Raw genomic sequence first — 17,284 nt, 5'->3', positions numbered from 1 at the left:
TGAGGGAGTGCAGAGTCAAACTCCTAATGGGGAACCTGGCATCCAAAACTGTTATTTTGTTAATTCCTCTAATTCTGCCCCAGTTATCTGAACACAGGAGAGTGCCCTCCCAAAGCACCACCATAGAGGGGCCCAGCAAAAAGTCCAACCAATTCTGCATAGCTGCAACACCTCAGAAAATGTAGGCCAGCCTGCTGGTCTGGATTGACTGAAATGACTGAGACCCAAGTAGCCCTTTGGGAAATCATGGTAAAATCATGGTGCTGGGTGCTTCAGAAATCCTTGCTGACTGATCAGCTGGACTGCTGTGGCAGAGACAAGATCTAGAGCAAGTGGGGGAGGAGGGTGGGGTCCAGAGGCAGAAGTCAGGCTGGAAAGCCCTGGGGGCCCACTGGCAAGAGGGAGACTGGCAAGAGGTAGATCAGGATGGTGGCCGTTCCGAATGTGTGTGTGGTGAAGGGAGCATTAAACTACAACCTGGGGCCTGGGTTCTATCGCTCTTGAGTTAATTAATTAATCTCTGGATATATCAGTTCCCCCACCCATAAAATGAAAATAATAATAGGACCTATCTCATTGTATTGTCATGAGGAACAGATGAAATCATGGACATGAAAGCACTGTGAAAACTCTCATGGTATATAGAAATATGAAGCTAAGTGTTCACTTGTTTTGTTTCCTTGTGTAGCCCCAGCACCTGGACAGTGTCTGTCATATAGCAAGTACTCAATAAACATTCATTGAATGAATAATATTGCACTAGAGTTCGAGTACTGACTGTTTAGAATACTAGGTGATCATCACAAGCAAAACTATGAGATGGGTGAAAGTAAGTTCTCGGCTGGGTGCGGTGGCTCATGCCTGTAATCCCAACACTTTGGGAGGCCAAGGTGCCAGGATTGTTTGAGTCCAGGAGATCAAGACCAGCCTGGGAAACATATGGAGATCCCATTTCTACAAATAATAAAAAATTAGCCAGGCATGGTGATGTGGACCTGTGGTCCCAGCTACTCGAGAGGCTGAGGTGGGAGGATCATTTGAGCCCAGGAAGTGGAGGCTGCAGTGAGCCGAGATCATATCACTGCATTCCAGCCTCGGCGACAGAGCAAGACCCCATCTCAAAAAAAAAAAGAAAAAAAAGCAAGTTCTTGCATCCTTCCATTTGGAGCCCTGTCCCCTGTCCCTTGACAGTGCCCTGGAGGTATTAAATATCCAGCATCCTCAGCCACCTCATTTTTCTTCACTCAGCCCACCTTGGTATCAGTGATGAAAAGAATGATAGCTGCCATTTGTTGGAGGCATATTATGTTCTAAGTGCTAAGCTTCACATGCACATTCTCAGCTTGATCTTCAAATCCACCCCCACATTTAATGGCTATTTTTCTTGGGAAAAAAAATACATGCTGATGACTCTAAAGCTCAGTTTTCTCATCTAGGTTGCAAGGCAAATCCTGTTACAGAAACTGACATGATTCCTGTTGGAGTTTCTGTTCCCAGGACTCATCTGGGCTCAACTCAGGCCCAGGCTTGAAATTGTGTGGCAAGGGACCCAACTGCCATAGCCATGCCATCAGACATAGCTATGATTGATGGGGGACAAGGGTCTCAATCTGCGTGAAGGCACCAAGGCTCTGCTATCCTCTTTCACAACTACATGGCTAGGAAACAGCAGCTGTCATTCAAGCCCAGGCAATCTCTCTTCAATACTTTGTGACACTTAAGGAAGCAGATGGAACAACTTGACAAATGGAACAGCTTGTCCAAAGCTGCTCACCTGGGCTCACAAATCCTTCCCCTCAGCCAAGAGATTTTTCATAAAGGAATGCTAATCTCTTTGGCACACTGCCCTTTGCACCCCTACAACCTTAAATGCTGGGTCCACTTAGCAGGTTCAGAACGTTCTGGCAGGCTCTCTCATACCATCCCACCCTCCCTGATTCTTATGTCATAGCCCTATCAGAGTTAGAAATAATACAATTACTTGTAGAATAATTTGATTACCTTTGGACTCCACCAAGTGCCCCTGAATTCCATGAGAGCCAGGTAGAATTGACTTTCTTCTCCACCACTTCCACAGTGCCCAGCTCTGGGCATAGTACAAAGCAAGTGCTCAATCAATATTTATCAAAGAATAAATGAATGAGTGAAGAGTAAGCAAATAAGTGAGATGGAAATGTAGAACAGAATAAATGTGGTAATTGCTCTCAAACCTTTGAAGAGCTTTGCTATGGAAGAGAGAGGATTTTTACTATCTTTTTTTTTTTTTTTGGTGAGAAAGAGTCTCGCTCAGTCGCCCAGGCTGGAGTGCAGTGGTGCCACCTTGGCTCACTGCAACCTCCACCTACAGGGTTCAAGCGATTCTCCTGCCTCAGCCTCCCGAGTAGCTGGGACTATGGGTGTGCACCACCAGACCGAGCTAATTTTTGTATTTTTAGTAGAGATGGGGTTTAGCTATGTTGGCCAGGCTGGTCTCAAACTCCTGGCCTCAAGTGATCCACCCACCCCAGCCTCCCAAAGTACTGGGATTACAGGCGTGAGCCACCATGCCCAGCCCAGGATTTTTATTAACTTTTTATTTAGAAATAATTTAAAAATTACAGAAGAGTTGTAAAAGTAGAACAAATAATTCCCATACACCATCTATGCAGATCCCACCAATTTTAAATATTTTGGCAATTTGTTTTTATCACTCTCTCTCATTACTTACATATTAATGTTCTTTTTTTTTAGGAACTATTTGCAGGCAGGTCACATGCATCATGCCATTTTACTCCCTAATGCTTCAATGCATATTTCCCAGGGACACAGCCATTCTTATAGAAGACCATTACCAAAATTAGGACACTTGATAGTTGATGCAATATTGTAATCTATGTCCTTACTCAATTTTGCCAATTTTGAGTGAGGACTTTTTTTGTTCTGTTTGGTTCTCCAGGGCATAAGGAAGATTAATGGGAAGATACATGATAAAAATGACTTTTTACTCTGGAATTTGAAGATAGATCCAGAAAATTAGAACTATCAATAAATAAAATGGCCTTTCTCCATAAATAGGGCACTCCCTGTTGCTGCAGGGATTTAGGCAGAGACTAGACGATTACCTGTTAGGAACGAGGGAGGGGATATCTCTTATGAATATGAACTACAGAATAAGCTTTTGTGTGTACTTCTGCAGGCCAGGTGAATTATATGCTATGTACTGGGCTTGATTCTCTTTTTTTCACTTATCATTTCTCATGTCGGGGCTGGTCCTTGCGTAGCTGAAGTAACCAACCATGGCATGGGGTTGAAGCAACCTCAACGTTCCATCAACCTGGAAATATTTTCCCCTGACACCTTCTACAAACAGGTCAGCCCTGGAATAATAATATTAACATGTATTATGCACTTACAATGAGCAGGGCAATGGTGTGCTTTGTAAGTGTCAACTCATTAAGTCTCCAAAAGCCGTAAGATGTAGCTATTACTATACTATAATCCCTATTTTACCAATGAGGCATCTGAAGCTCAGGTGGGTTTTGGTATCTTGATTTGGTTCAGGTCTGATGTGTTAAAAGATTTCAGAAATTATGATCAAGTTGTTCAAATAAGTGTATATGGAGATTTTTAAAAAGCAGTTCGGCTGGGCACAGCAGCTCACGCCTGTAATCCTAGCAATTTTGGAGGCTGAGGCAGGCAGATCACTTGACCCCAGGAGTTCAAGACCAGTCTGGACAACATGGCAAAATCCTGTATCTACTAAAAATACAAAAAAAAAAATTAGTTGGTGTGGTGGTGTACACCTGTAGTCCCAGCTCCTCAGGAGGTTGAGGTGTGAGGATTGCTTGAGCCCAGGAATTGAAGGCTGCAGTGAGGTGTGATCACATTACTGCACCACAGCCTGAGCAACAGAGCAAGACCCTGTCTCAAAAAATAAAAAATCGGTTCAATTATTTAAATGAAAAATAAAAATGAAAAGAAATAAACCAAAAGATAGTATTTCAAGACTTCAAGAACATTAGTATTTCTTTGTCTGTTTATACCTATTCCTATTTTCATTAGGGCAGTCTAATTTGGAGGAGTTTTAGGGGGGGTTCTTTATTTCTACATTTCCTGATTTTCTAGTTGTTGTAATTGTTATTTTTTAGACATGTTTTCACTGTAGTTGACATGCTAATTCAGAATGAAAGATCTTCCTAGAGACTGTCCTATGTAAAGCAATTGAATCTCCCTGCTGTATTACCACTGTAGAAGACAGAGGAACAAGGAGGATGGCCCCTTCTTTCCCAGTCTTATAGGTTTCATAGTTTTCAGAACAGTTAATTTCTGGCTAATTCCTACCAATCCTTAAAATTTCAGCTTAAATGTCACATCCTCAGAAAAGTTTTTGCTACCCTGCAAGACTAGGTCAGAATCCCCTGTTACCTGTTCTCACAGCCTCATCGACCTTTTCTTCATCTCACCTCACTACATCTCACTGCATCATTGACCTTTCCTTCATAGCAATTATCACATTTAAAATGATTGTTTTGTCTTTACAGTTAGACTGTAATACAGGTTTCTGAGGGGACCCATCTATTTTTGCTCCCAAATGTATCCTAGTACCTGACACACTGTGGCCACTCAATAAATGTTTGTTGAATGAAAAATGAGTAAATGAAAATCCAGTTCCACTTAGGAAAAAGATGCTAGCAAAAGAAAACATAGAAGAGTAAATTGTGCCCCTGGAGGCAAAAATTCAGTATTCTAGTATCAAAGGTCAGAACCAGGCAGTGATGAAGTCAAAATGAGGGGATTTGGGAGATCCGGCAGAGGGTGGTTCAGGCAAGAACTTTGGTCAGTTGCTAGAGCACAGTAGCAGCAGCAGCATGGAGTATCTCAATCCAGTGCTAGGATGCTGTAGCTGACTGAAAGTATTCTGCTTTCAGGGGTTCAGTCCTTCTGGAAATATGCTACAGAACATGTGCACCCATGGTTTCCTTCATTGGGGACAGAGAAGTAGAACTAGGCAGAAAAGAATTTAAGGAAGAACTATAAAAGGCTTTTGAGAGGAAGGGTCTTGCTGGTTCCAAAATAATGTCCTCTCTCATTAAGTGGCTTTCACAAAGCTGCCATTACAATTTCTACATGCAGCCCCCAGATGGCAGCAGTGTGTTACTCTTGGGCTGCCAAGTTCGTGATGAAGTCTCTGCTTTGACATCTAACCTACCATGCCATGACTGCCCCCAGAGCTAGCTTAGATTTGGGTTGTCCTCACACTGTGCTGAGAGGGCTTGCAATGTGTCTTATTTTGGGAATGACCTCATTGGTCTTTCCCTGGCAGCTGGCTCCCATAACCCTGACTCTTGAAGCTGCCCTCCTCTCATTGCCATCCGTGAGTGTCCCCAACCCTGTAGGAAATCATAACCTAATGGTTCCTCTAGCATACTACAGTGAACATGTCCAAAATGAAATTCGTATTTCTCATCTACTCCCCATTCCCCACCCAAGCCTGTGCTTCTCTATAACATTTTGAGCATCTCCCTCCCATTCATGGAGTCCTGGTGAGTCAACCTCTAAACTACTTCAGATCTGTGTCCTCCTCTCCTGTTTGCCAGGCATGGAGCGGATCCTCTCCACCTCTTGCCTAATCCCTAGGTCATCTGCTTATCTCTGTCATCTTTCTCTCACAATCCATCCTTCCACTCTACTCAAACTCCTTCTGAGGACAGGGATGCCCCCTTTTGTTAATCTCTTCAGATTCTACTCTTGCTTTAATGTGCAGACCAACTAGCACTGCCCTCAAAAAACTTTTCTGGGTATCCTCCCAGCCCCGACACCCCCATCATTTTTTCCACTGCCTGTATACAGCACTTTACTTGGACCTCCTTTCATAACTCTAATTGCTAATATTCTGTCTTGTTGATAATCCATTATTTATATACATAAATATGTCACTCTAGCCCTTAGCCAAGGTGGCAACCATGTGGCACAAGTACATCAACACCCCCCCACCAGTACCCAACAAGAGACATCACTGATAGATCTTAGCCATCTTCCCACTGAGCCCAAACCCAATCTCAAAATCCTTCGGGAAACAGTATTCCAGAAGAACTGATCCACAAAATGAAACAAATTTGCCATTCCTGCACTGGACTATCAGCAATAATAGGACAGAAAGTATGCACTGCACCTGTAGTCCCAGCTACTTGGCAGGCAAGAGGATCACCTGAGCCCAGGAGTTTGAGACTAGCCTGGGCAAAATAGTGAGACACCATCTCAATTTTTTAAAAAAGAAAAGAAAGCATGCTCTATTCTTTGAATCTACTACAGCATCTCGTACACGATCTATATTCGTCAAAAGCCTTCTTGAATGAATTAATAAAAGCACAAAGTGGAATAGCATAGACACTGATCATAGGAATGCTGCTCCCAGACTCCATGTTTCAATACTGCTGCTATGAATATGGGTGTGCAAATATCCCAAGACCCTGCTTTTAATGCTTTTGCATAAATACCCAGAAGTGGGATTGCTGAGTCATATGGTAGATCTATTTCTTTTTCTTTTTTCTTTTTTTTTTCTTTTTTTCTTTTTTTTTTTTGAGACGGAGTTTCACTCTTGTTGCCCAGGCTGGAGTGCAATGGCACGATCTCAGCTCACCGCAACCTCTGCCTCCCAGGTTCAAGCAATTCTCCTGCCTCAGCCTCCCGAGTAGCTGGGATTACAGGTGCCCACCACTACGCCCGGCTAATTTTTGTATTTTTAGTAGAGACGGGGTTTCTCCATGTTGGTCAGGCTGGTCTGGAACTCCCAACCTCAGTTGATCTGCCCACCTCGGCCTCCCAACGTGCTGGGACTACAGGCGTAAGCCACCGCACCCAGCCTAGGTAGATCTATTTCTAACTTTTTGAAGAACTACCATTCTGTTTTCCATGGCTGTTGCACCATTTCACAATCCCACAAATAGCACACAAGGATTCTCATTTCCCCACATCCACACCAACACTTTCTATTTTATGGGTTTTTTTTTATAGTGGCCATTCTAATGAGCGTGAGGTGATATTCATTCACTTTTATTGCTAAGTAGTATTCCATGATGTGACTGTACCAAAAATTGTTCAACCATTCACCCACCCATTGAAGGATATCTGAGTTTTTCTAGTTTTTGTAAATTATGAATAAAACCATTATAAACATTTATGTAAAGTTTGTTGTGTGAACATATGTTTTTATTTTTCTGGGATAGAGGCCCAACAGTACAATTGCTGGACCATGTGATAGTTGCATGTTTCGTTTTTAAACAAACTGCCACTCTTTCTCAGAGTAGCTGTACCATTTTATGTACCCACAAGAAATATATGAGTGATATGATTTCTTTGCATCCTTACTATTATTGAGGTGTTGTCATTATTTTTATTTTAGCCATTCTGAGAGGTCTGTAGTAATGTTACCAAAACAGCAGGAGTTCCATCTAGGTCCTGTTTTCTCACTGCACAGAAAGGCAAACACTGAGACAATGAGTATTGCCAAGGAAGAAGGCTTTAATCAGGTGCAGCAGCCAAGGAGACAAGAGATCAGTCTCAATTCCATCTCCCTGACCAACTAAAATTAGGTGTTTGTATAGCAGGGAAGAAGTGAAACCATGTGTGGGAAAACAGGAATTAGGGAGGGATAAGGAAGAGGAGTTGGTCAACAGGAAGCAGTTGGTTTGTCAGCCAATCAAGAAGGGTGAGGGATCTGGCTTCTCACTGTCCGGATGTGGTGATTTGGTGATTTTCAGATCCCGGATACTTTCTGGGAGGCCTGATGGTTTGTTTCCTGAGAAAGGAATTCAGATAAGACAAATGTAACTTTCTCAAGTTTTAAGACTGGAAGGATCAATTTCTATGTTTATTCAAAGAGATCAGAAACATCAGCTCTGTGGGACAATTGGGTTGGTTTCATAGTCACATGGTCTGTATATTTCCCAGTGGTATTCAAGCCAGCAACTTATAGAAAACTGCATGATCAAGTGTAAACTCAGCAGATTTACAAAGCACACACTTGACCACAGATAATTTTTCTCAACCTAACATTCAGACCCATAAGCCTATTTTTCCACCTTGCTTTAAAATTTTCAGTGCATTGTAAAATATCAGAAAAGGATTGCCCCATATTGGTCTTAATTAATCCATGCTGAAGTACTCTCTTTTAGTATCACATTTCCAATTTGTTTATATTGGTCCTTATCATGTGGGAAAAAATTACACAACACAGATATGCTCTGTACTACCATTTGCAAAAACATTCCGTAGACATATTAGAAGTTGGCATTTGTGTGTGTGTGTGTGTGTGTGTGTGTGTGTGTGTGTGTGTATGCATGGCTGTGTTTTTTTTCTGTTTTAAGGAAGACTATGTCTTGGTTGTGTGAGAACTTCTAAGCTTCAAGGCCAAACTTCAGTTTTCACTTCCTTCACAGATGTCTGACTACGCTTATAAAGAATTTCCAGAATTTGTTGGGCACTGTGGCTGACGCCTGTAATCCCAGCACTTTGGGAGGCTGATGCAAGTGGATCACTTGAGGTCAGGAGTTCGAGACCAGCCTGGCTAACGCGGTGAAACCCCGTCTCTACTAAAAATACAAAAATTAGCCAGGCGTGGTGGCGGGCGCCTGTAATCCCAGCTACTTGAGAGGTTGAGGCAGGAGAATCACTTGAACCCAGGAGGCAGAGGTTGCAGCGAGCCGAGATCGCACCATTGCACTCCAGCCTGGGCAACAAGAGCAAAACTCTGTCAAAAAAAAAAAAAGAAAGAAAGAAAGAAAGAAAAAAGAAAAAAAAGAGAGAGAGGAAGGAAGGAAGGAAGGAAGGAAGGAAGGAAGGAAGGAAGGAAGGAAGGAAGGAAGGAAGGAAGGAAAAGAGAAAACAAGAAGAATTTCCAGAATCCAATGGGATGCTAAACAAATTTTTAGTCAAAGCAATCTGGAAGGGAAAAAGAGCTACTTTGTGGCAGCAGGGCTGTATTCATTCCTAAATGCCAATGTAGTACGATTTTAAAGGCCAAACAATCATTTGTTCCCAAATTCTCACCCCTGTATATTACAAAGCATCATTATTTAAAAAATCACCGTGAGCCTTATTGGATCCTGATTCAAGCAAATTGTAGGAAAAAAAGACTTATGAGACAATTGGGGAAATGTAAACACTGACTAGATAATTGAGAATATTAAGCAATTATTGTTTAGTTTTAAAGTGTGATAATGGTATTGCAGTTTTTTAAAACAAAAAGGGTCCTTAGTTTGTAGAGATATATACTAAAGTATTTACAGATGAAATGATGTGATGTCTGGGACTTGCTTAAAAATAATTCGTCATGTAGGAAGTAGGAAATGGGTGGCAGTATAAATGAAATAAGATTGACCATTTTGATAATTGTTGAAGCTAGTTGATGGGTATATGACCATTCACTGTAACAGTCTCCTTACTTCTATATATGTTTGAACTTTCCCATAATATTTTTTTAATCCACCATAAAAGTGGTAGCATGGTTTGGGGAGGCTCCTTGTAATATGAATTTTATCCAGAAATGGTAACCCACAAACTTCTTAGCCCTCCTTGGCTACATTAGCAAAGATGAATTGATCAAACATCTTATGAGGCAGAGGCCACAAGGAACAGGAAATGAGGCAGGACAAGTCTGAAAAGAGGAAGTTAAGAAAGGCTTGGAACATGGACTCTTGCCAGAGTGGACAAGCTATTGCCAACCACTGAACGAAAGGGTTTGAAGTGTAGCAGCTGGAGAGAGGATGCTAAAAGAAAGTAGTAGCCTCCTTAGGGGGAAGGTGTCTTGTATATGCATGTTGGTGGGGGATAGTGGGGTGGAGCTTGAATGTTCAAGGCTGTAAAACAAACTCACCCTTTGATTAGAGCTATCTTTGTCTCCCTTTGGAAACATCATGAAAATAAGACATGTAGAACTGATTCTTAATCCAAATCTCAAGTCAAACAATAACTCAGAATAATTTTCTGTTTTTTCCCCCATTTTCAAATCTACAAGTCTTAGGTCAGCTGCTTGTTTTCTATAGCTGTTTCCATTATTTTCCCAAAACAATCAAAAGTTACTATTTTATTGATTGCGAATGTTAGACCTAAAGGAGCCCTTGTAGATCACTTACTCCTTTTTTTTCACAAGTGAGCAAACTGAAGCTCAGAGAAAGAAAGAAACTTGCCCTGCATCATACAGTACCTAGCTAGCACAGTGCTGGCACATGGTAGACACTCAATAAATATCTGTTGAATCCAGGGTTGATACATAACCTACCAAGTAATTATAGCCAGCATCTGACCTGACTGGTTGGTGCCCATGTCACATAGCTTTAACATCGCCCCCCAACTGAACAGATGAAGGAATGAAAATAAAGTAGTAAAGCCAGATTGTTCTTGACTTGCAGACATTCTTTTTCTGTAATTCTAGTTCTAGTCTTCATGGGGCCCTAAGTGGGCAGGCAGGGCCACCTTTGGCTGCAAAGCTTACAGAGAATCCAGGCCTCCTCTGGACTCGATGTTTGTTAATTGTCCATTAGCCTCCTCAGTGCTCCTAGGTACTGGCCAGCCTTATTTGGGGCTGCATAGCAGGCAGAGTGTACGGCAACCCTCACATGTTAAAGGTTTGATCTGCACTCTCATCCTAACAAAGTAATTAATTGGGGCTCCAAACTACCTATTTCACTGTCAGGGAGTGGATACCCAGCATTATTTTTCCAGTTCTCATCTACCCCAGGGATGAGGGGAGAGTGGAAAAAAGAAAAGAAAAAAGAAAAAAAATACTTTTAAGTGTTTGTAGAAGCATAAATAAGAATTAATGTTGCTAACTGGATTTATACCATAGAATTTTTTTCTAAAAACAGTATAATTGGAAAATGCCATGTCATTACAAATTCACTACAATGAAGGCAAATATTATAGTATGATATTGTAAACCAAGATTGTCATTTTCACATGAGGAGGGACAAGAAATTGGTTCCAGAATAACAGTATGTGCAACCACAACTACCATTTATTAAAGTTCACTGTGCTAAGCATTTTACATTTTATTTCACTGACACCTCACAGCAACGCTAGGTGGTAGGTCCTTTTATCAGCATTTTACAGATGAGGACTGAGCCTCAGGTAGATCAAGTTAAGAAAATCTCCCAAAAAGCAGAACCAAAAGACAAATAAAGGGAACATGGGAGAAAAAAGATACGAAAATTACAGAATCAGTCCAGGATGTCCAATGTACAACTAATAGGAATCCTAGAGATAAAGAAAACACAAGGGAAGCTATTGTGTGAGAAATAATAGAAAGCAATGTCTTAAAAATGAAGCATGAGATTTTAGATTGAAAGGGCTCACAAAGTCCAGCCCAGTAAATGGAAGAAGATCCACAATAAGGCATATCATTAAAATTTAAAACACCAAGAGAAAAGAGGCCAAGAGAAAACCTTGCAGATAAAAGTTACATGTAGAAAATTAGAAATCAGACATTTCTAAAGCAACACTAGAAGCAACAACACATCGGAATAATGCTTTCAACATTCTCAGAGGAAATTGTTTCCAATTAGTAATTCTTCACCTAGTAAAAATTTTAATCATGTGTGAAGATTATATTTAGACAAAAAATGATTTTACAAAAATCATCTTGGCTGGGAGCAATGGCTCATGCCTGTAATCTCAGCACTTTGGGAGGCCATAGTGGGAGGATTGTTTGAGCCCAGGAGTTCAACATCAGCTTGGGCAACACAGGGAGACCCCCATCTCTACAAAAAAATAAAAATTAACAGCTGAGCATGGTGGCAAGTGCCTGTAGTCCCAGCTACTCGGAAGGCTGAGGTAGGAGAACCGCTTGAACCTGGGAGGTGGAGATTGCAGTGAGCCGAGCTCGCATTACTGCACTCCAGCCTGCATGATAAAAGTGAGACCCTGTCTCAAAAAAAATAAATAAAATAAAATGAATGAAACTTAGCTGGGCATGGTGGTATGTGCCCATAGTCCGAGCTAATTGGGAGGCTGAGGTGGGATGATCACTTCAGCCCGGAAGGTCGAGGCTGCAGTGAGCCGTGATCATGCCACTGTCCCGAATTGGTGGGTTCTTGGTCTCCCTGACTTCAAGAATGAAGCCGCGGACCCACGCCGTGACTGTTACAGCTCTTAAGGTGGCGCGTCTGGAGTCTGTCCCTTCTGATGTTCAGATGTGTTCCGAGTTTCTTCCTTCTGGTGGGTTCGTGGTCTCACTGGCTAATGAGTGAAGCTGCAGACCTTGGCGGTGTGTGTTACAGCTCTTAAGGTAGCGCGTCTGGAGTTCTTCGTTCCTCCCGGTGGGCTCGTGGTCTCGCTGGGCTCAGGAGTGAAGCCGCAGGTCTTCGCAGTGAGTGTTACAGCTCATAAAAGCAGCGTGGACCCAAAGAGTGAGCAGTAGCAAGATATTGCAAAGAGTGAAAGAAGTGGAAGGGGACCCGCGCGGGTCGCCACTGCTGGCTCAGGCAGCCTGCTTTTATTCTCTTATCTGGCCCCACCCACATCCTGCTGATTGGTAGAGCCCAGTGGCCTGTTTTGTCAGGGCACTTATTGGTACGTTTACAATCCCTGAGCTAGATACAAAGGTTCTCTACCTCCCCATTAGATTAGTTAGATACAGACTTTGGATACACAGGTTCTCCAAGGCCCCACCAGAGCAGCTAGATACAGAGTGTCAATTGGTGCACTCACAAACCTTGAGCTAAACACAGGGTGCTGATTGGTGTGTTTACAAACCTTCAGCTAGATACAGAGTGCCGATTGGTGTATTTACAATCCCTGAGCTAGACATAAAGGTTCTCCAAGGCCCCACCAGAGCAGCTAGATACAGAGTGTCGATTGGTGCACTCACAAACCTTGAGCTAAACACAAGGTGCTGATTGGTGTGTTTACAATCCCTGAGCTAGACATAAAGGTTCTCCAAGGCCCCACCAGAGCAGCTAGATACAGAGTGTCGATTGGTGCACTCACAAACCTTGAGCTAAACACAAGGTGCTGATTGGTGTGTTTACAATCCCTGAGCTAGACATAAAGGTTCTCCAAGGCCCCACCAGAGCAGCTAGATACAGAGTGTCGATTGGTGCACTCACAAACCTTGAGCTACACACAGGGTGATGATTGGTGTGTTTACAATCCCTGAGCTAGACATAAAGGTTCTCCACATCCTCACCAGAGCAGCTAGATACAGAGTGTCGATTGGTGCACTCACAAACCTTGAGCTAAACACAGGGTGCTGATTGGTGTATTTACAATCCCTGAGCTACATACAAAGACTCTCCACGTCCCCACCAGACTCAGGAGCTCAGCTGGCTTCACCTCGTGGATCCCGCACAGGGGCTGCAGGTGGAGCTGCCTGCCAGTCCTGCACTGTGCGCTCGCATTCCTCAGCCCTTGGGTGGTCAATGGGACTGGGCGCCGTGGAGCAGGGGGTAGTGCTCGTCCGGGAGGCTCGGGCCGCACAGGAGCCCATGGAGTGGGTGGGAGGCTCAGGCATGGAGGGCTGCAGGTCCCGAGCCCTGCCCCGCGGGAAGGCAGCTAAGGCTCGGTGAGAAATCGAGCACAGCGCCGGTGGGCCGGCACTGCTGGGGGACTCAGTACACCCTCCGCAGCCATTGGCCCGGGTGCTAAGTCCCCCATTGCCCGGGGCCAGCAGGGCTGGCTGGCTGCTCCGAGTGCGGGCCCCGCCAAGCCCATGCCCACCCGGAACTCCAGCTGGCCCACAAGCGCCTCACGCAGCCCCGGTTCCCGCTCGTGCCTCTCCCTCCACACCTCCCTGCAAGCTGAGGGAGTGGGCTCCAGCCTTGGCCAGCCCAGAAAGGGGCTCCCACAGTGCAGCGGCGGGCCGAAGGGCTCCTCAAGTGCCGCCAAAGTGGGAGCCCAGGCAGAGGAGGCGCCGAGAGCGAGCGAGGGCTGTGAGGACTGCCAGCACGCTGTCCCCTCTCACCACTGTACTCTAGCCTGGGCAATAGAATGAGACCCTGTCTGAAAAAAATAAAAATCACCTCCCATGCAACCTTTCTAAGGAACTTAGTAAACGGTGTGGTCCAGCAAAACCAGGGCATAATCCAAGAAGGGGGACAACTGGGAATGCAGGAAACAGAAGCTGGAAGTGGAGGGAATTCCCAGGATGGCAGCTAGGTGCTCGGCCTAGAGAACAACCATTTCAGGATGGATCAGGAGGGCAGCAAACTCTAAAGAGGGCTGTCTCCCCCCAAAAATTCATGAAACTCATGGATTACCTAACATGTTTGATCATATTGAGTGAAGTGTTATGGTTCTTCAGAAAAGTTTGGGATTGAACTCATGACAGGTACATACAAAAATAAATCAAAGAAAGGGAGACAATATGGGGAAAAGTTTGGGATTGAACTCATGACAGGTACATAAAAAAATAAAGGGGAGACAATATGGGGAAAAAAACAAAAAAATATAATTAATGGTACAGTGCATAAGTTAACCACAAGCAATATTTATATAAGTATAATGCAAATATTGACTATTTTAACGAAAATATTTATATTTTTGGAAGAGAAGTGTGAGTATGTGTGCACAAGTGCGTGTTGAGAGGCATAAAAGCAAGCTAATTCCTCATCTTCTACAGAAGAAAGATCATTTCTAAATCTAAAGAAATTGCAATATTAGGGTATTATTCAAAAGTAAAGGGTTATATACCAAAAGAAACAGGTAAAACATGTTAAATGTAGTTTAAAATAACACAAACATATTATATCACACTTCTGTAGGTCAGAAGTCCAGCACAGTGTGGCTGCACTCTCTGCTCAGGGTCTCACAAGGCCCAGATTATGGTGTCTGCCAGCTTGTGCTCCTATATGGAGGCTCTGGGAGAAAATCTGCATCCAGGCCCACTCAAGTTACTGGTAGTATCCAGTTCCTTCTCACACTTCCTACATGGCCCCTTACATCCTCAAGCCAGCAACAGCACTTTGAGCCCTTTTTGTGCTTTGGCTCTTTCTCCCTCTTCTGCTTTCAGCCAAAGCAGCCAATTTCTCGGCTTCTAAGGGCTTGATATTGGGCTCACCCAGATAATCCAGGAAAATCTATCTTAAGGCCTGAACCACAATTACATCTGCAAAGTTCCTTTTTCCATGTAAAGTTACATAGCCACAGGTCCCAGAATTAGGGTGTTGACATCTTTTCTAGGAGCAGGAATCAGGGGTAAGGAGGAGTGGGACAGGAGGCTGCTTTTTTTAAATGATAAGCCCTATAATACTCTTTGGCTTTTAAAGTATCATACATGCATATTAAGAAATATTTGTTAGATGCAATCATGGCTGGGCCCTTGTGAAAATCCTGATTTGGGTAGACCACAGGTTTCATCTAATGTATTAATTCCTTTGTTCTTCCCACTGCATTAAAGGGCCTGCTCCTCTGGTTATTTTTGGCAGTTTCGCTACATCCTGTAGTGAATAAGAGGTATTTTCTTGATTTGTAAAACAAAAATCATCTTAACCTTTATTGGATGTCAAAATTAATAGAGCTAATCTAGTCCAACCTCCTCATTTTACAGATGAGAACGCTGATGCCTAGAGCTAGTGTTTATAGCAAAGATTCTCACTTCCAAATGAACTCCACAACCTATGGTCACCATTAGGAGTCATGGATGGGATTATACATCACTGTCTAACACCTTCATTTTACAGATAGGGAAACAGACCCAGACAGAGAAAGTTATCTGCCCACATTCATTTGGAACTCCTAAATGATAATCCAGGTTTCTTTCCCCTATACAAAGTAGCCTTCCCTTAACTAACCACCTGATACTAAGCCAAATCTTATTGACTTCTAAATTCCTATTACATAACACATTGTCTAGCTCGTAGATAAATGAATGCACAAATGAATCTCTTAAAAGACACTATAGGCCAGGCACGGTGGCTCACGCCTGTAATCCCAGCACTTTGGGAGGCCGAGGCGGGCGGATCACCTGAGGCCGGGAGTTCGAGACCAGCCTGACCAACATGGAGAAACCCCATCTCTACTAAAAATACAAACATTAGCCGGGCGTGGTGGCGGTCACCTAGTCTCAGCTACTTGGGGGGCTGAGGCAGGAGAATCCCTTGAACCCGGGAGGCAGAGGTTGTGGTGAACTGAGATTGTGCCATTGCACTCCAGCCTGGGCAACACGAGCAAAATCCCGTCTCAAAAAAACAAAACAAAACAAAAAAGATGCTATAAAATGCTCACTTTGCAATTAATGATTTAAAATCAGAAATCTTCCAGTTGATAAGCAATTTGGCAAAATGCGAAATAAGATGTTTTTTTCTTTAGGTAACTGCCTTTTGGGGACAAGTAAATATACCACTGACTATATTATACAGGCTTTAAAGTCAGGCTGACTTGCTTCCCAATTTTGTCTTAGTCTCTTACTAGCTATGTGATCTTGCATACACAGCTCAATCGCTCTATGTCTCAGTTTCTTCATCTGTAAAATGACGTTAACAACACAACCTAACTCATGGGACCAGCATACAGATTATGTGAAATCACACATGTAACTCGGCACATAGGAGCCACTCAGAAACTATTAATTTTCTTTTTATAATGGTCTACCCAATAAATGCTGAAAACCAGCAGTTAAATATTTTCCTGTTGCTAATGGTAAACTAAAAATGTGACCGTTAGGAAAGATAGTAAAAAGCCAGAGAACCTTCAAGAAGAAATCATCTTGGGGATTGATGTCAAAAATATCTAGCACATCCAAATGTCAGTAAAACTCCTCCCTTGCTTAAAGTAAAAGCATGCCAAGATTTAGCTACAGTATTTACAAAAAAGACTTTGTTTGACTCAACCGTTAGGGTTTAAAAGAAAACAGAGTCTCTGAAATAAATGTTCTTGTCCTCTTGCTTTCTTTTAAAACTACTAATAAGTTAGTAGCATAATGTGCTATTCATGTGAGCATAAGTTACACCTTCAAAAGAGCAAGAGTTCATGGAAACAAGGAAATGATAAATTCCTCTGGAAATCAAATGTGCTTAGATCACTCTGGCTCCTCTACCCCTGAGACAAAGTGATCATGTTTGTGGCTACAGGAATTTGTTTTCCATAGATCTCACACAAATTTACGACCTCAAGGGGGTTCTCAATTTTAAATGTTTTCTGTTGTAATACTCACTGTTGATGTGTTAAGAATCAGAAAAGAGGTTTCTTATTTTAAAATAACAAGAACAACAAAACAGCTACACTTACCTAGAAACGGATTTTCAGAATCTTCCTGGATAATTCCAGATAAATAACTTGACCAAGATCAGCACCCTCACTCTTTCCCTAGGGT

The 17,284-nt window shown here is 42.8% G+C and overlaps 1 protein-coding gene across 1 annotated transcript in view; it reads right to left on the bottom strand.

The window, feature by feature from the left end:
* Positions 1 to 7,480: 7,480 nt before the first annotated feature.
* IL13RA1 (interleukin 13 receptor subunit alpha 1) overlaps positions 7,481 to 17,284 on the bottom strand; it is a 77,623-nt gene continuing 67,819 nt past the window's right edge. Inside the window, exon 11 of the mRNA XM_047442096.1 lies at positions 7,481 to 7,777. Coding sequence (XP_047298052.1) covers positions 7,736 to 7,777 — 42 coding nt within the window. The 3' untranslated portion in view covers positions 7,481 to 7,735. The remainder of the gene's footprint in view (positions 7,778 to 17,284) is intronic.

The sequence above is a fragment of the Homo sapiens genome, chromosome X (genome assembly GCF_000001405.40).
Source record: "Homo sapiens chromosome X, GRCh38.p14 Primary Assembly".
Classification (NCBI taxonomy): Eukaryota; Metazoa; Chordata; class Mammalia; order Primates; family Hominidae; genus Homo; species Homo sapiens.
The sequence above is the reverse complement of the archived record's forward strand: the minus strand, read 5'-3'. Positions and strand labels throughout refer to the sequence as shown.